The 20,470-nt window shown below is 41.3% G+C and overlaps 1 annotated feature.

Moving 5' to 3' along the window:
• Window positions 18,194-19,393: an enhancer, noted in NCBI's record as "MED14-independent group 3 enhancer chr3:33508920-33510119 (GRCh37/hg19 assembly coordinates)". NCBI's record gives its function as "activates an origin of replication core promoter dependent on BRD2, BRD4, P300/CBP and CDK7 cofactors, and independent of MED14, by STARR-seq in HCT116 cells {active_cell/tissue: HCT116}" and the evidence as "EXISTENCE:reporter gene assay evidence [ECO:0000049][PMID:35650434]".

The following is a 20,470-nucleotide window of genomic DNA, read 5'->3' as shown; positions in this document are numbered from 1 at the left end:
TGAATAAGTCTCATGAGATCTGATGGTTTTATAAGGGATTTCCCTTCACTTGGCTCTCATTCTCTCTTGTCTGCCACCATGTAAGACATGCCTTTTGCCTTTCGCCATGATTGTGAGGCCTCCCCAGCCACATGGAACTGTGAGTCCATTAAACCTCTTTTTCTTTATAAATTACCCAGTCTCAGGTATGTCTTTGTCAGCAGCGTGAAAACAGACAAATACACCCTACAAAAAATTAAGTAGGCGTTCCAGTCTTTTCTTCTGCTTCCTTGATCCCTCGCCACTCCTCAGTCTACTTTTCCACAGTCTGCCTTTTTCCCTGCCTTCATGTTTAAACCAGCCGTTATACATCACAAATGTCAGTCTTCAGTGCATGATGTTTGGTCAAAGGAAAGTGATATTTCAGTTCAGAAAATACCCTATCACATCAGTAACCCATGATGGTACGATTTGATCAGACTGATTCTTGCTTCAGATTCCCAGACTTCAGCTTTTAACATCTTTCCTACAAAAGAAAAAGTATTACTTTTGAAATTTCTGGTTTTAATGTCATGAAACATTTTGCTATTCCACAGAACAGCTGCATCAACATCACCCAGAAACTCAATACAGAATGCCAGACCCTACCTCAGACCTACTGAGTAAGAATCTGCATTTTTGACAATGTTCCCAGGTAATTTATATGCACATTATAGTTTATGATTCATATGCATATTAAAGTTTGAGAAGCACTAATCTAGAGTTATTTATGATAACACAAATTTTAATATTGCATGATACTCTGATTTCAAAATTCTTTATTTTAGCAACTAACAAGCAGTTCATGGATTCCACTTTTAATGCTTCCAGTTAGCAGCTTCTTTTTTTCATTACACATTCCCATAGGAAATCTATATACAAATGTATTAACTGCAATAAGGGAATTCCAGTACTGCATCCCTAAGATTACACACCCTTTGTTAATGAAATTTCATGTTGTATCATCATGAAATACCAACTAGCCTGACTCAAGTTACCAATCAAGTTTATTCTTCTGAGAAATAAATACTACAAATATAATTACATTCCATTAAAAATATATATATTCAACTGTACTTGGACATCTATTCAAATGTCAAGCATTGTTCTTGGCACTAGGAATACAGCACTGAAAAAGTAGACAAAAATCTGTTCTCTCATGGAATTCATATTCTGGTTAGAGACAAAAGATAAATAAGAAAAATATAGCATACATGAGATAGTAGTGAGCACTAAAAAAACGGGGAAGGGGGATTTTTTTTTTTTTTTTTTTTTTTTGAGATGGAGTTTTGCTCTTGTCGCCTAGGCTGGAGTGCAATGGCGCCATCTCGGCTCATTGCGACCTCCACCTCCTGGGTTCAAGCAACTCTCCTGCCTCAGCCTCCTGAGTAGCTGGGATTACAGGCACCCACCACCATGCCCAGCTAATTTTTTGTATTTTTTAGTAGAGATGGGGTTTCACCATGTTGGCCAGGCTGGTCTCAAACTCCTGACCTCAGGTGATCCAGCCACCTCAGCCTCCCAAAGTGCTGGGATTACAGGCGTGAGCCACCGCACCCGGCTCAGGAAGGGGGATTTTTTAAAGGCAGAGACATAATGCGATCTTATGAAGGCTGGTCAGTGAAGACCCTACTGAAAGGGATATTGAGCAAAGACGTGAAGGTAGTGGAGTGTGACAGGCAAAATAATAGCTCCCCAACAACGTCCATATCCTAATGCATAGAACCTATGAATATGTTACCTTATATAGCAAAAGAAACTTTGCAGATGCAATCGAATTAAGGACCTTGAGAAGGAGAGATTATCCTGGATTATCCTTACAAGTGAAAGAGACAGGCAAGAGAGTAATTACAGGGATCCTTACAAGTGAAAAGAGGCAGACAGGAGAGTCAGAGAAGAACATGAGATGGCAGAAGTAGAGATTGTGATAATGCAGACATGGAGGCCGCTTCTGGAAGCTGAAAAAGGCAAGGCAGTCGATTCTCCCCTAGAGCCTCCAGAAGGAAGGCAGCCCCTCCAACATCTTGACTTAGCCCATTAAAACGAACTGTGTGCCGGCGCAGTGGCTCATGCCTTTTTTTAAAGTGGGATGGCTTTTATTAGCATTTCAATGGAGGAAGTATAACATAGGGCTATAGAGTGAGACTGTCTGGGTTCAAACACTGGCTTGAGCTTGGATAAACAGTCTGGCAGTTTCTTAAAAGGTTAAGCAGGCTGGGTGTGGTGGCTCACGCCTGTGATCCCAGCACTTTGGGAGGCCAAGGCCGGCGGATCATGAGGTCAGGAGATGGAGACCATCCTGGCTAACATGGTGAAACCCTGTCTCTACTAAAAATATAAAAAATTAGCCGAGCGTGGTGGCACGCACCTCTAATCCCAGCTACTTGGGAGGCTGAGGCAGGAGAATCGCTTGAACCTGGGAAGTAGAGGTTGCAGTGAGCCAAGATTGTGCCACTGCACTCCAGCCTGAGCGACAGAGCGAGGAGGCAACAGAGCGAGACTCTGTCTCAAAAAAAAGGTTAAGCATAGAGTTCCCATATGATGCAGTAATTCTGCTCCTAGGTATATATGGAAGAGAATGGAAAACATGTTTACACAAAAACTTCTACATACATAGTCCTAGCAGCATTATTCTTTTTTTTAACCCTCCCTAGTCACAGCTAGTAAGTATTATTCTTAATAGCCAAAAGGTGAAAAAGTGAAAACAACCCAAATACATCAACTGATGAATGAATTAAACAGAATATTGTATATCCATACAATGGAATAATTTTTCAGCCATAAAAAGGGATGAAGGCAGCCATAATAAAGGATGAGTTCATGTCCTTTGCAGGGACATGGATGAAGCTGGAAACCATCATTCTCAGCAAACTATCACAAGGACAGAAAATCAAACACCGCATGTTCTCACTCATAGGTGGGAATTGAACAATGAGAACACTTGGACACAGGGCAGGGAACATCACATACCGGGGCCTGTCAGGGGGTGGGGGGCTGGGGAAGGGATAGCATTAGGAGAAATACCTAATGTAAATGATGAGTTGATGGGTGCAGCAAACCAACATGGCACATGTATACCTATGTATCAAACCTGCACATTGTGCACATGTACCCTAGAACTTAAAGTATAATAAAAAAAAGGCATGAAGTACTGATACATGGTACAACATGTATAAATTTTGAAAGCATAAATGAAAGAAAATATAATAAGCCAAACTCAAAAGGCCATATATTATACTGTGAAAGTTTTCAGAATAAAAATGAAGTCACTAATATTAAAAAACACCCCGACAAATAGAACTGGGAAAGGCTATGAAGAGAAGGTTTGTATGCCTGATAATGAAAGCTATCGAAAAGACTGCAAAAACCACTGCCTTGCACAAAGGCCATTGCGACCTTATACAAAAAATACTTCAGCAAGGATATTTGCCCAGCAACTGCCTTATTGTTTATCTTTGTAGCCAAGAATAACTATTTCAAAACAATTATGTAATCCTCATTTTCTTCCTTTAAGATTCTTTGTCAGCCAGGTATGGTGGCCAGTGCCTATAATCCCAGCACTTTGGGAGGCTGAGGCAGGTGGATCACCTGAGGTTAGGAGTTCGAGACCAGCCTAGCCAATATGGTGAAACCCCGTCTCTACTAAAAATACAAAAAACAAAAATAATATAAAAATAGCCAGCCGTGGGAGCAGGTGCCTGTAATCCCAGCTACTCGGGAGGTTGAGGCAGGAGAATCATTGAACCCAGGAGGTGGAGGTTGCAGGAAGCCAAGATCACACCACTGCACTCCAGCCTGGGCAACAGAGTGAGACTCTGTCTCGAAAAAAAAGAAAGAAAAAAAGCCTTTATCTTCCTTCCCTTACCTCCCTAAATATGCACATAGTTTACTATGGCATGTGTATTTTCATTGCAATGCTCTATTCCCAAAATAAATACCCTTTCTTTTAGAGAGCCTCTCTGTTTGGAATTTAGGTTGAAATATATGGTGTCTGAAAAGGGACCTGAAAAAGATCATTCTTGGAAAGAATCAGTGATATTTGGAACTGGCATGTGTTACACGGTTCACCTTTTATTCCCTGGTGAGTTTTCTCTCAGGCTGAGCCTTTCTCTTTTTTGGTAGAGGCTTTTTGATATTATTTGGGATCTGATTTGGATTAAGCCATCTAAATAAAGGACTGTGCCTACCTCCTGGGATGATACAAGGCCTTTTAGCTTTTCTAATAAGTCCTTTCTGGTGTAAAGACCTATGTCTTTCTGGACTGAGAACAGTGATTTCTACAGAATTCACATTCCATTTGTGAGGCATGTCTTTTCTGGTGAATTTACTTTCTGTTTGGTCTGTGCACCTAGTTTAATATTTTGTTTGATCTGCATGCCTGTGCTTAAAATTTTTGTGATTACTCTTATCTGATTTTTGTTATTTGGTTTGGCTCTTTTCCCTTGCTTATTTCTGAAAATTGCCCAAGAGCAAAAATAAACATTCTAAATGGCAGGCGCAGGATGGATAATTAAAAGCCACTAGTGCAGTTGCCACCATCTAAAACACCAGTTTAAACTCCTGACATTCCCTGGCAAGATTTATAAGATTTTCATTGCTCTCAAGAGATTATTAAGAAATAAAATGGGATTCTCAAACATTAAAGTATGCCAGATCTTCTGGGACTCCAGCCAGCTACATATTATGGCCTGTTCTTATGCACATTTTCATTTTTAAATATATATCTATATATATATATATATATATATATTTTTTTTTTTTTTTTTTTTGAGACAGCGTTTGGCTCTTGTCACCCAGACTGGAGTGCAATGGCGCAATCTCAGCTCACTGCAACCTTCGCCTCCTGGGTTCAAGTGATTCTCCTGCTTTAGCCTCCCGAGTAGCTGGAATTACAGGCATGCACCACCATGCCCAGCTAATTTTTGTATTTTTAGTAGACACAGGGTTTCATCATGTTGACAAGACTGGTCTTAAACTCCTGTCCTCAAGTGATCCGCCTGCTTTGGCCTCCTAAAGTGCTGGGATTACTTGCATGAGCCATCATGCCTGGAACTTATGCACATTTATAAACTGATGGGCAAAATTACATCAAAAAAAATTCAGAGCTCAAATGGTCATTATTTGAAAAATCTGCAACTATACATTAACATGTAGAGTGTTCTAAATTCTTTGTCTATTTTTTTCTGCCTACTTTAAGTCAGCTGACTTTTCTACTGTGTTGAGATAAAACTCATTGCATATGCCATTCCAGCCAAGATTTAAAATAGAAAAGTTTTAAGGACTTTTAAGTTAATGGCTTTACAAGTTACAATAGCTCCATGGTAACCAATAACCTAGACACCTTTTAGGTTTGCCTGACTAATAACTGTATATGGTGATGGAACACTTAATTGAAAAATTAGTTATCTAAAAGAAAAAGAACTACAACAATGTTTATAACAGTTAGGCTCTCAGATCAAACAGGTCAAAATCTTGAGCTCAGAGTAATGATATAGGGTATCTCTCCAACATAATTTTTTTTCTGCCACATAGAGGCCAAAATGAAAAAGCAGAAAGTCCAAGCATGTCATCAACGTCTAAGTCATGATAAATGTTACGAAAAGAGAATACATCATCAAAGGAATTTTGTGTATGATCAAGTTGGCTATAATTAGAAGGGGATTATTTATAAGTCTTTCTAAAGATTGAACTTTGTAAGTTTATTTTATTTTTTAAACTGACATATAGTAGTCTGGGCATGGTGGCTTATGCCTGTAATCCCAGCACTTTGGGAGGTCTCTAAAATAAAAATAGAAAAAATTAGTCAGGCAGAGTGGGACACACCTGCAGTCCCACTACTCAGGAGGCTGAGGTGGGAACATCGCTTAAGCCTGCAAAATCAAAGCTGCAGTGAGCTGTGATTGTACCACTGCACTCCAGCCTGGGTGAGAGAGCCAGACCCTGTCGAGAAAAAACAAAAAGACATGTAATAATTGTATATATTTATGAGGTACATAGTGATGTTTAAATACATATAATGTATAATGACCTGATCACTGTAAGTAGCATATCTACCATTTCAAACATTTATCATTTCTTTACATTAGGAAACTTCAATATCCTCCTTCTAGCAATTTGAAACTATACATTGATAAGTACAGTCATCCTAGAGTGGTATAGAACACTAGAACATATTCCTCCTATCTAGATATAATTTTATATTTTTTAACAGATCTTTCCCTATCCCCCTACCCCCCCAATTTCCCCTACTCTTCCCAGCCTCTAGTATCCTCTCTTCTACCTTTTACTTCTATGAGATCAAGTGTTTTTATGTTTTTAGCTTCCACATGTGAGTAAGAACATGCACTGTTTAACTTTCTGTTCCTGGCTTTTTTCACTTAACACAATGTCCTCCAGTTCTGTCCATGTTGTTGCAAATGACAGGATTTCATTATTTTGATGGCTGAAGAGTGTTCCATTATGTATATATACCACATTTTATTTATCCGTTCATCTGTTGTTGAACACATAGGTTGATTCCATATCTTGGCTATTGTGAATGCTGCTGCACTAAACATGGAAGTGCAGATGTCTCTTCAGTATATACTGATTTCGTTTCCTTTGGATGAGTGCCAAGTAGTGGGACTGCTAGATCATATGGTAGTTGTATTTGTATTTTCTTAAGGAATCTTCATACTGTTCTCCATAGTGGCTGTTCTAGTTTACAGTCCCACCAGTGGTATGTAAGGGTTCTCTGGGAATGCATATACACTGTTGATGGGAATGTAAATTAGTTCAGCCACTGTGGAAAGCAGTATGGAGGTTTTGCAAAGAACTAAAAATAGAACTATCATTATTCAACCCAGCAATCTCTTTACTGGGTATATACCCAAAGGAAAACAAATTGTTCTGCTAAAAAGACACACACAGTCGTATGTTCATTACAGCGCTATTCACAATAGCAAAGGCATGGAATTAACCTAGGTGCCTTTCAAAAGTGGATTGAATAAAGAAAATTTGGTACATATATACCATGGGATACAACACAGCCATAAAAAAGAATGAAATCATGTCCTTTGCAGCAACATGGACAGAGCTGGAGACCATTATCCTAAGCTAACTAACACAGGAACAAACCAAATACCACATGTTCTCTCTTATAAGTGGGAGCTAAGGGTCGGGGCATGGTGGCTCATGCCTGTAATCCCAGCACCTTGGAAGACCAAGACAGGCAGATCACTTGAGGCCAGGAGTTTGAGACCAGCCTGGCCAACATGGTGAAACCCCGTCTCTACTAAACATACCCCTCAAAAAATTAGCTGGGTGTGGTGGTGCATGCCTGTAGTCCCAGCTTCTCATGAGGTTGAGGCAGGAGAATTGCTTGAACCTGGGAGGCAGAGGTTGCACTCCAGCCTGGGTGACAGAGTGAGACTCTGTCTCAAAAAAAAAAAAAAAAAAAAAAGGCGGGAGCTAAACATTGAGTACACATAGACATAAATATAAGAACGATAGACACTGGGGACTACTAGAAAGGGGAAGAATGAACAGAAACCATTTTGAGTTGTGATTTTTGTATAGAATGAGAGGTGGGGGGGGGTCTAATTTCATTCTTTTGCATATGGATATCCAGTTTTCCAGAGCTGCTTATTGAAGATACTCTCCTTCCCCCAGTGAGTATTCTTGATGCCTTTGTAAAAAATGAGTTGGCTCTAGATACATGGATCAATTTCTGGGATCTCTGTTCTGTACTATTGACCTATGTGTCTATTTTTTCTTTTTTGTTTTTGAGACAGAGTCTTGCTCTGTCACCAGGCTGGAGTGCAGTGGCGTGATCTCGGCTCACTGCAACCTCCGACCCCCTGGTTCAAGCGATTGTCCTGCCTCAGCCTCCCGAGTAGCTGGGATTACAGGCACACACCACCACGTGCAGCTAAGTTTTGTATTTTTAGTAGAGACAGGGTTTCACCATGTTGGCCAGGATGGTCTTGATCTCCTGACTTTGTGGTCTGCCTGCCTTGGCCCCCCAAAATACTAGGATTACAGGTGTGAGCCACCATGCCCGGCCCCATACAAATTTTAATATTTTTTTCTATTTCTGTGAAGAATGTAATTGATATTTTGATAGGGATTGCATTGAATCGGTAGAATGCTCTGGGTCGTAAATATTGAGATTTTTTAATATTAATTTTTTTTTTTTAAGAGACAGTGTCTCACTCTGTCATCTGGCCTGGAGTGCAGTGGTATGATCATGGCCCACTGCAGCCTTGAACTGCTGTGCCCCAGTGGTCCTCCTGCCTCAGCCTTCTGAGTGGCTGGGACTACCAGTGCATACCACCATGCATGCCTGGCTATTTTTTATTTTTATTTTTTATTTATTTATTTTTTTGAGACGGAATCTTGTTCTGTTGCCCAGGCTGGAGTGCAGTGGTGCAATCTCCACTCACTGCAACCTCTGCCTCCCGGGGTCAAGCAATTCTCTGCCTCAGCCTCCCTATTAGCTGGGATTACAGGCACCTACCACCACACTCAGCTAATCTTTTTTGTATTTTTAGTAGAGACGGGGTTTCACCATCTTGGCCAGGCTGGTTTTGAACTCCTGACCTCATGATCCACCCGCCTCAGCCTCCCAAAGTTCTGGGATTACAGGCGTGAGCCACCACGCATGGCCATGTCTGGCTATTTTTTTAAATTGTTTTGTAGAGATAGGATCTCACTATATTGCTCAGGCTAAGATTGAGCTTTTATATTGAAAACACACTCGTACAAAATTTATTTATTTATGAAATGGAGTCTCGCTCTGTCGCCCAGGCTGGAGTGCAGTTGTGCCACCTTGGCTCACTACAACCTCTGCCTCCTGGGTTCTAGCGATTCTCCTGCCTCAGCCTCGAGATTAGCTGGGATTACAGGAGCATGCCACCACATCTGGCTAATTTTTTTTTTTATTTAGTAGAGACAAAGTTTCACTGTGTTGGCCAGGCTGATCTCAAACTCCTGACCTCGTGATCTGCTTGCCTCGGCCTCCTAAAGTTCTGAGATTACAAGCATGAGCCACTGTGCCCCACCCACTCATACAAAATTTAAAAATTTCATCTCCTGTGTTAGAACAACAAGGTTTTCTTTTTCTTTTTTTTTTTTTCTTTTTTTTTTTTTTGAGACAGGGTCTCGCTCTGTCGCCCACGCTGGAGTGCAGTGGCATGATCTCGGTGCTCACTGCAGGCTCCGCCCCCCCGGGGTTCACGCCATTCTCCTGTCTCAGCCTCCCGAGTAGCTGGGACTACAGGCGCCCACCATCTCGCCCGGCTAATTTTATGTATTTTTAGTAGAGACGGGGTTTCACCATGTTAGCCAGGATGGTCTCGATCTCCTGACCTCGTGATCCACCCGTCTCGGCCTCCCAAAGTGCAGGGATTACAGGCATGAGTCACCGTGCCGGCCTTCTTTTTTTTTTTTTTTTTTGAGACAGAGTTTCACTCTGTCACCCAGACTGGGTTGCAGTGGCTTGATCTCGGCTCACTGCAACCTCTGCCTCCCTGGTTCAAGCGATTCTCCTGCCTCAGCCTCCTGAGTAGCTGGGATTACACGTGTGCGCCACCAGGCCTGGCTAATTTTTGTATTTTTAGTAGAGCAGGGGTTTCATCATGTTGGTCAGGCTGGTCTTGAACTCCTGACCTCGTGATCCGCCCACCTTGGCCTCCCAAAGTGCTGGGATTACAGGCGTGAGCCACCGCCCAGCCTCAGAGCAACAAGGTTTTCTTAAAGTATTTATTTGTTCTTAGTAATATTGCCAGTGGTTTTGATTTTGCTTCTAAAATGTTTCTTTAAAAACCATCTTCTAAAAACTGTAAACAGTTTCTATTTCTGCCACATTTCTTCCTGAGATCTATTTAATTTTCTTAGTTTCAGGTTGGAAATGCTCTATTTTTCATTCGGAATAGTAATTTCATTTCTTGAGGTAAAATTTTCTTTTTGAAACTTCTCAGATGTCTGTCTCAGAAGTTCAACTTTTGTGTACCTCGCTGCACATGATGAAGACATCATTGCCTTCTCTTTTCTCCTTTATAAAAGATATATCTTTTTGCTTGGCTGGGTTGATAACTTTCTCCTTCATTTTTCATCAATTTCAGCAACTTTTTTTTTTTTTCTGATTCTCTGTCTGTTGTTATGGCCTGAGGCTGAAATGTTTATTATAAAGGCCTAGAAAAGTAATGTTTTCTTCAGTATAACTTGATTCTGTACTCATGGCTCTTCTTGCTGTGTCTGAATTGTTCCATGTAACAAAGAAACTTCCCATGCTGTTACCAACAGCCGTGTATTGCCCTACTCAAGGTATCAGTTTTCTTGTTTATATTTCTCTATATAGTGTATACTCACAACCCTGGAGATGTTCTTCTTGTGTATGATTAATTTCAAGCACCCGTTCCATTAGGTTTGACTTCCAGTTTATATAAATGGGCTTCCTATAACGAGAAGCAATCACACTGCAGAAATTAAAAAATATATATTTCTGGTAATTGGCCTAAGAACAACAACAACAACAAAGATTTTATGTTTTAACAAGATAATTCCTGTGTTGTCTTTATTAGATCTTTGATTATTCAGAAGAACTGGGCTTTGAAGGGGTTAAGATATTTACATCCATGTAACTTTCTGTATTGCTTCTGAGAATTCTTGATATCATTCTGCTTAAATGAATGACAGTTATTTTACAGTAACCTGAGAGTCTGTTTGTATCAAGTGTTTTGAACCTTTTGATATCTTTGGTAGGCTCTGCCCACCAAATCAAAATCCTAAATTAAGTCTTTTTGACATGATGTTAACTCTGAGATTTTCCAGTTGGGCCCCTGGAGAGCATCAAAAAATGTATCTCTCATCTTGTAGAGATGTAAATGATTGGGCTTATTGGGTAAATTGTATGAGAGGCATTGTCAAATGATAAGTGATACTATATCTTTCAGTTACATGTATGGGTATGTTATTGATATAAATGTTTCTAAATTATATAAATTCATAGAAACCTACTATGTTATCAGCCATAATTTTAATAATGTTACATCTTTTGTGAAGTTATATTTGTATAGATATTATTAATGTGAATATTCTAAAGGTTATACGAAATTTATAAAAGGCTCATGGTCCTATCAGTCATAATTCTGGTTGTTATCATAAAATGCTACCTGTAATAAAAATAACTCGACTTCATTATCAATTGAGAACTTCCATCAGATTTTTAACTTTAAATATTCTGAGTTTTTGTCATCCACCGTTATTATTTGAATTATTCTCTAAAAGCATTTGTGATTAGCTATAGTCCGAAATTGTTTTTCATGAAGAAGACATGGACAAATACTCTTGAACACAGATTGCTAGTAATTTTAGGATCAGTGGAATAAATCGTAATTTTCAGAGCTCTAATAAAGAAACCGATGGGTTCATGAAATTGCTAATGAAGGTCAAGCAAAACAAAAAATTAATTACATGAAGTTAAGTAATTGATTAAATGATGTTTTATGACTTTTATTTAAAACAGTGTTGATTCTTTACTTCAATGTTTTGATTTCCAGATTTAAGGACATTGTTTTCTCATAAGCTATTTATAGTTTACAACAATTTGGTAAAATATACTTTTGTTTTGTTTTGGTTTGATTTTTTTTGAGACAGGGTCCCACTCTGTCACTCAGGCTGGAGTGCAGTTGCACAATCACAGCTCACTGCAACTTCCATCTCCTGGACTCAAGCCATCCTCTGAGCTCAGTCTCCTGATTACCTGGGACTACAGGCATAGGCCACAACGGCTGGCTAATTTTTTTTTTTTTTTTTTTTTTTGGTAGAGATGGGGTTTTGTGATGATGCCCAGGCTGGTTTTGAACCCCTAGGTTCAGGCAGTCTGTCCACCTCGGCCTCTCAAAGTGCTGGGATTACAGGTGTGAGCCACTGCTCTAGGCCTAATTTGGCAAAATACATTTTTGTGAACAAAGGTAAAAGCATTTGCTTTGTCTCTGTACATGATTCCTCCAAAATTCAGAAAGTATTCGTGTGGTTTTTTTGCCTTTTTTTTTTTTTTTTAGATGTAGTCTTGTTTTGTCATCCAGTCTGGAGTGTGGTGGGGCGATCTCGGCTCACTGCAACCTCCACCTCCCAGGTTCAAGCGATTCTCTTGCCTCAGTCTCCCAAATAGCTGGGATTGCAGGTGCCTGCCTCCACCCCTGGCTAATTTTTGTATTTTTAGTAGAGACGGAGTTTCACCATGTTGATCAGGCTGGTCTCGAACTCCTGACCTCAAGCAATCCACCTGCCTCACCCTCCCAAAGTGCTGGGATTACAGGCATGAGCCATAGCACCCGGCCTATTTATGAGTATTTTTAATTTGCGACAATATGGTTTAAATAAGTTCAATAAAAATCTATTCTCTCTCTCTTTTTTTTTTTTTTTTAAATGAGACGGGGTCTCACTCTGTCATCCAAGCTGGAGTGCAGTGGCATGGTCTCAGCTCACTGCAACCTTGACCTCCCAGGTTCAAGCAGCCCTCCCACCTCAGCCCCCCAAGTAGCTGGGGACTACAGGTGTGCACCCCCACACCTGGCTTTTTTTTTTTTTTTTGTATTTTTTTGTAGAGACAGGGCTTCACCAAGTTGCCCAGACTGGTCTCAAGCCCCTGAGCTCAAGTAATCCACCTGCCTTGGCTTCCCAAAGTGCTAGGATTATAGGCGTGAGCCACTACGCCTGGACTTTTGTCTCTCTAGAAGCAGAAAACAGCTGGAAATGTTGGTGATATTACCAAGGCTTGGATTGAAATGTCTTATTTAAGAATGTGCATAAAATGCCTGACTTCAAGAGTTCCCAGCCTTGCAGCAGTGAGTAAAAATTGTCACTTCCTGACAAGTTCAAGAATCTTAATATTGTAAGTAAAATCTGAAGTCTGCCTTGGTTGGGCTTCCTAACCTCTAGAGGTTTTTAAAATCTGAGATCCCTATATGACCAGTGTAGAGTAAAAAAGTTATGTTTCTAAGGAAAAATTATAATACATCTGTTATTAGATTATAGCCCTATGCATTGTTTTCAAGTTCTGATTATCTACCTGTAGACTGGACTAGATCCTGAATTTTCCTACTTTCTTCTTGGCTACAACTCTTCAACTAAAAACAAAAGCTACTCTGTTCCTAAAGCCCTGTAAGCTGAAACTAGATGAAGTTTAAGGAATTAGTTTCATGCTTGATGTATGGGCTACTCAAAATGTTTACCAACCCAACTGATGTCTTGACCAGCGATATTCAAACTGCAAACCAAAAGTTGATGTTTTCATGCTATAGCCAGTTTTTCCAAGACATCAGAGCAAGACCTGTGTCTGTTTTTTTTTTTTTTTAGATGGGGTCTCGCTCTGTCGCCCAGGCTGGAATGCAATGGCGCACTCTTGGCTCACTGCAACCTCCACCTCCCAGGTTCAAACGATTCTCTTGCGTGAGCCTCCCAAGTAGCTGGGATTACAGGCATGCACCAACATGCCCGGCTAATTTTTGTATTTTTTATTTTTTAGTAGAGATGGGGTTTCGCCATGTTGGCCAGGCTGGTCTTGAACTCCTGATCTCAGGTGATCTGCCTGTCTCGGCCTCCCAAAGTACTGGGATTACAGGTGAGCCACCGCACCTGGCCAAGACTCTGTATCTTAATATGACTTTTCCCCACCTTAATGCTACCTTTCACTTGGCAGGATAACAATAGTTTAATTGAAGTTTCACAACCAATAGTTTCTGGCTGGTAACTTAACAGAAACTAACCTAAGAAATCCTTCAGTATTCATTGGTTAAATAAGAAAATGTCTAGGCTGTTGCTAACACTACATGCTGTACCTGGATAAATTCCTTTGGAAAAAGGTGAGACCAATATATACAAAATTAGAAAACAGGCCACATGGTTACAAGAGGTCTCACTCAATTCTCTATGGTCATTTGATTTCTTCAATTGGTTGTCTTTAAGCCTAGGTTCATGGCTCAAAACAATTATGCAAACTGGAATGGTCATATTACTATTAATTTTACTTTGTATTTTCCATTTTTAAACTTTGTATCTGTTACTTGTTAAAGTTTTGAAGAAGTACAACTCCTAGAAAAATAATTCTGGCCTAGCACTTTGAAATGATAGCAAAATACTATCAGACAGAGAAAATTAAACTTAATAGTGGACTCCAGACTCTCATGGAACCTGAGAGCCACGCCATTCAAACCTCCCTATTGCTCTAACGTGACTAAAATGGTTTTGACACTGATTCCTAGTCACCAGTCCCTCTCCCCAACATGACATGAGGCCAATACATAGGACAGTTTCATCTTGCCACTAAGGGACATCAAAATCTAAAGGACGATTGACCAGTGACAGTTTTGGGTAAAAAATCTTGATCAAATAGGGGAAACATGAAAGTTGTCAGAATCAAAATGGAATCACAAACATTAAAAAATATCCTGGCTGAGGCCAGGCGCAGCGGCTCACGCCTGTAATCCCAGCACTTTGGGAGGCCAAGGCGGGCAGATCACAAGGTCAGGAGATCGAGACCATCCTGGCTAACACGGTGAAACCCCGTCTCTACTAAAAACACAAAAAATTAGCTGGGCGTGGTGGCGGGCACCTGTAGTCCCAGCTACTCAGGAGGCTGAGGCAGGAGGATGGCGTGAATCCGGGAGGCGGAGATTGCAGTGAGCTGAGATCGTGCCACTGCACTCCAGCCTGGGCGACAGAGCGAGACTCTGTCTCAGAAAAAAAATAAGAATAAAAATCCTGGCTGAGTGCAGTGGCTCACGCCTGTAATCCCAACACTTTGGGAGGCTAAGGCAGGTGGATCACCTGAGATCAGGAGTTTGAGATCAGCCTAGCTAACATGGTGAAACCCCATCTCTACTGAAAACACAAAATCAGCCGGGTGTGGTGGCATGCACCTATAATCCCAACTACTCAGGAGGCTGAGGCAGGAGAATCGCTTGAACCTGGGAAGTGGAGGTTGCAGTGAGCCAAGATTGCGCCACTGCACTCCAGCCTGGGAGACAGAGCGAGACTCCATCTCAAAAAAATATATAGATAGATAAATAGAAATGTATATATATCCTGACAAATAGATTTGGGGAAGGCCATGAAGAGAGGGTTCTCATGCTTAAATGCCTGATAACAAAAGACTGCACAAAAACCACAATCTTGCACAAAGGCCATCACAACCTTACACAAAAAATACTTCAGAAAATACATCTGCCCAGCACCTGCCTGTCCAGCCTCAGACTGATGTCACCCTTGTTACTGATCTTTGTAGCCAGGGATAATTATTTCAAAACAATGATGTGATCCTCTTCATTTTGTTCCTTGAAAAAAAAAATTTTTTTTTGAGACGAAGGCTGGCTCCTGTCCCCCAGGCTGGAGTGCAGTGGCACGATCTTGACTCACTGCAACCTCCACCTCCCGGGTTCAAGCAATTCTCCTGCCTCAGCCTCCCGAGTAGCTTGGATTACAGGCATCTGCCACCACGCCCGGCTAATTTTTGTACTTTTAGTAGAGACGGGGTTTCACCATGTTGGCCAGGCTGGTCTCGAACTCCTGACCTCACGTGATCTGCCCGCCTCAGCCTCCCGAAGTGCTGGGATTACAGGCATGAGCCACTGTGCCCAGCACCTTGAAAAATTTTTGTCTTCTTTTACCTCCCTGAATATATTAATACACACAGTTTACTATGGTACATGTATTCCCATTGTAATGCTCTATTCCCAAATAAATACCTTTTTCTTTTAGAGAGCCTCTGTTATTTAGATTGACAGCATGATTCTATTTATATGAAATATCCAGAACATTCAAATCCATAAACATGTGAATTGTATTAGTGTTTGCAAGTAAATGGAGAGAGGTGGGAGTTCTTTTTCAGGTGTTGGAAATATTCTGGAATTAGGTGCATGGTATTACAAATAAAATAAAAACAATTACTCATGCATTTTAAAATGATTAAAATGGCAAATTTCTGATATGCAAATTTTATCTCAATAAATAAAAATAAATTTAAAACCAGAACAAAACACTGGATATGCCAATAGATGTAGATTTTTGCAAGTGAGAATATCTTAGCATGTGTTTACCCATTTTGGGCCTTTTCTTTCCCTTTATGTCTTGACTAGAATTTTTTTTCTAAATTGTTATAGATATAATTCATAGATACATCCTATTTACAAAACAGAAATATTTACTGGTTTATGTATTTATCCTTCTTTTCTACATATCAGGGTGGCCCCTGGATTTATCTCATTGTTGAAGGACTTCCTCTGATTATTTCAAAGGTAATCTTTCTTGGTAAACCTTTTGATGCTTTGTGTGCCTGAAGATGCCTTTATTTAACCCTTAGAAAAATGGGAATGAAGCACAAAATTTTGGGTTCAAAGTTCTTCTTCTTGGCTGGGCACAGGGGTTCATACCTGTAATCACAACATTTTGGCACGCCAAGGAGGAAGGATCACTTGAACCTGGGATTTGGAGACCAGCTTGGGCAGCATAATGAGACCCCATCTCCACAAAAAGAAAGTTTTTCTAATTAGCCAGGCGTGGTGGTACACACCTGTAGTTCCAGCTACTTGAGAGGCTGAGGCAGGAATATCACTTGAACCCAGGAGTTTGAGGCTGCATTGAGCTATGATTGCACTACTGGACTCCAGCCTGACTGACAAGGCAAGGCCCTGTCTCTTAAAAAAAAAAGGGGCGGGGTTGGACACAGCGGCTCATGCCTATAATCCTAGCACTTTGGGAGGCCAAGGCGGTTGAATCACCTGAGATCAGGGGTTCAAGACCAACCTGGCCAACATGGCGAAACCCTTGTTTCTACGAAAAATACAAAAATTAGCCGGACGTGGTGGTGCGTGCCTGTAATCCCAGCTACTCCAGAGGCTGAGGCAGGACAATTGATTGAACCCAGGAGGAGGAGGTTGCAGCGAGCCAAGATCACGCCATTGCACTCTAGCCTGGGTGACAGTGAGTCTCTGTCTCAAAAAAAAAAAAAAAGAAAAAAAATTCTCCTTCTTCAGTATTTTGAATTGCTCTCTTACTGTTGAACATTCAGTGTCACAGTTGAGTAGTCTGATGTTAGTTAAGCATCATTCCTTTAGAGAGAATCTGCTTTCTCTCTTGGTAGGTTTTAAAGAAAAGTTTAATTGTGGCTTTAATGTGGCTTTTAAGTTTTTCCCCCTCTAATTTATTGTGTTTAGCATTTGAAGAGTCCTTTCCCTTCATAGCCTTTTTTATTTTAACCCTGGAAAATTCTAAATACTTCAAATATTTCCTGAAAAATTTTAAATTCTTCAAATAAGCCAAGCGTGGTGGCTCAGGCCTGTAATCCCAGCATTCTGGGAGGCCAAGGCAGGTGGATCACCTGAGGTCAGGAGTTCAAGACCAGCCTGGCCAACATGGTGAAACCCGACTCTACTAAAAATACAAAAATTAGCCAGGCATGGTTGTGCATGCATGCATGTAATCCCAGCTACTGAGGAGGCTGAGGCAGGAGAATCGCTTGAACCCAGGAGGCAGAGGCTGCAGTGAGCTGAGATTGTGCCACTGCACTCCAGCCTGGGCAACTGAGCAACACTCTGTCTCAAAAATAAGTAAAATAAAATAAAATAAAATAAAATAATTCAAATATTTCCTATTGTTAAATTAAGTCTAAAGTTGTCTCTATAAATTTGGCCTAAACATTCTTTTGTATATGGTAAACTGTAACCTAACTGGGTGTATAAACAGACTATAACTTGCTCTTGTACTAACCAATGAGTTTTGGCCAATCACAGGCAGCCAACTGCTTAAATTAGACAAATGCCAAGCTGTAACTAATTTAGTTGTTTCTGTATTTAACTTTTGTTTTCTGTATGTCATTTTTCATTTTCTGTCCATAAATTATCTCTGACCATGTGACAGGGCTAGAATCTCTCTGAACCCATTCTGCTTTGGGGAGCTGTCCCATTCACAGATAGTTTTTTGCTCAATTAAATTCTGTTGCATAAAATTTGTTTAAACTTTTTCTTTTAACAGATGGCATCAAAAGTGGAATCTGAAGTACAACTTATAGCAGTCCTCAGGAACATCAAGTGACCAAGTGAGAAATCCACCAGGCCATTATGTCCATTACTCTCTTGCAGCAACTGGGATCATTGGTAAGTTCTCTGTTAGATTCTGAAGCTCCATGGATTTGTGTTTTAAGCTTTCCAAGTTTCTTTGAGCAAATGTTTTATCTGAACTGGATTTGGAAGTCACAGTAGAAACTAGACTGGGTCCAGGGTCTGATTTGCTCTCATAATTAACTGGCTTGGATCTATTTGGAGGCTTCAGATTGTTGTCAACCAAACTTGGGTCGGCCTGCCCAGCACAGGAAAGCCAAATACTGACATTGGGATTTGCAGCAAGAGAAAGTGAGGCATTTATTGCAAGGCACCTACCAAGGAGAATGGGGCAGGTCATGCTTCAGATCTGAACCCTCTCATGGCTGACATGTACGAGTTTTTAGAGGTGGGGAGACAGAGGTTACAGGCAAAGTCATACATCAATACATGGAGGCTATACATTAGTTTGGACTAAATAGGCAGGAAACCTCAGAGTGGGGGCCCACAGGTCATAGGTAGATTCAAAGATTTTCTGGTTTGCAACTGGATATTGTTTGTTTAAAAACTTGGGATCAACAGAAAAGAATGTAGAGCTCTGGCCTTGTTACAGATAGTGATAGAGGCAGGAGGCAGACAAATGCCTAGGCAGATAAGGAAGGGTCCCTGGAGAATCTCCACCCTTCCCCCCTACCAAGTATTTACATCAGAAGTTTTTTTGCAGATAAGGGAACATGCACAGGGTCTTGCCTGGGCATGCCCGCAATGGACTGTAGCCTACATGAACTGGGGGAATGGGATGGAGCCACCAGAAATTCACGCCTTATGCAGGGGAGGGAGCCTGGCTTCTTCAGCTCGTGTGTGGTGGCCTGGTATTCAATCTGTGAGGTGGGAGGCTGCTGGCAGGACCACTCTCTTTGCTGATAGCTGCCCCCCTCCTTTTTTTTTGAGACGGAGTTTCTCTCTTGTTGCCCAGGCTGGAGTGCAATGGCACGATCTTGGCTCCACGCAACCTCCACCTCCCGGGTTCAAGGATTCTTCTGCCTCAGCCTCCCGAATAGCTGGGATTACAGGTATGGACCATCACGCCCAGCTAATTTTGTATTTTTAGTAGAGATGGGATTTTTCCATGTTGGTCAGGCTGGTCTCAAACTCCCAACATCAGTTGATCCACCTTCCTTGGTCTCCCAAAGTGCTAGGATTACAGGCCTGAGCCACCGTGCCTGGCCGAGAGCTCCCCTTTTGTATTATAAATTCCATCCTCCTCACCCTTCAATGTGTCTGTGTGCCTAATTCTTCGTGGTCATGAGACAAGAACCCAGATTTAGTTGAGCTAAGGAGCAAACAATCCTCCATCATTTCATTGACCCATAAGGGGACAAGAGGAAGGGTGAGTATAATGTGGACTCAAAAATCTCTTTCCCTTTTGTTTCCGAGCCTTCTTTTCCTCAGACTTTTTCTAAAAGCAGAAGAAACGGCCCCCACCACTGTCACTCTTGGGGGTTGGGAATGTTGGCCTCAGTCTAATCCAGTCTTTTCTCTGGGATTTTTCTTCTTTTTTTCAGGATTATAATGGCACCTATCTTTGTTTTACAATATTAGGGGTGTTCCACCCCCACCCCAATGGCCACAGGTGCACACAGAGGATAAATGGTTGAGTGGCGGCTCCCAGCCCCCTCCCCCTCCCACACAGGATGCATAGCCCAAGAGCCCTGTATGGCCAGCTGGCCAGCATCTCCCACTCACAGTGCCCTCCCACCACGTACTAGGGAGAGCCAGGAAGAAGGAAACAGCAATTAAAAGTTTCTTGGGTTGGGTGCAGTGGCTCACACCTGTAATCCCAGCACTCTGGGAGGCCAAGGTGGGCAGATCGCCTGAGGTCAGGAGTTTGAGACTAGCCTGGCCAAAATGGTGAAACTTTGTCTCTACTGAAAATACAAAAAAAATTAGCTGGACATGGTGATGTACACCTGCAGTCCTAGCCACTCAGGAGGCTGAGGCAGAAGAATTGCTTGAACCTGGGAGGTGGAGGTTGCAGTGAGCTGAGATCATGCCATTGTACCCGAGCCTGGGCAACAAAGCCAGACTCTGTCTCAAAAAAAATTTTTTTAAATTAAAAGTTTATCTCCCTGTTGGAGAAACCATTTGCATACGAATAAGAGGTTTCTTCCCCAGGCATTTCCCCGCCCTACACTTAAGCTGTTTCTTTTTCTTTTCTCCACCATATCAGGAGTTGGTGTGTTGGTGCAAAGGTAGTTGCGGTTTTTGACATTACTTAGAATGGTGGGGACTGCACTTGCTTTTGCACTAACTTAATAACCCATCCCTGCGAGTACAGGGGCTTCTCTGTGCCAGAGGCTTTTTCTTGAAAGGCG

The sequence above is a fragment of the Homo sapiens genome, chromosome 3, assembly GCF_000001405.40.
Source record: "Homo sapiens chromosome 3, GRCh38.p14 Primary Assembly".
Lineage (NCBI taxonomy): Eukaryota > Metazoa > Chordata > Mammalia > Primates > Hominidae > Homo > Homo sapiens.
The sequence above is the reverse complement of the archived record's forward strand: the minus strand, read 5'-3'. Positions and strand labels throughout refer to the sequence as shown.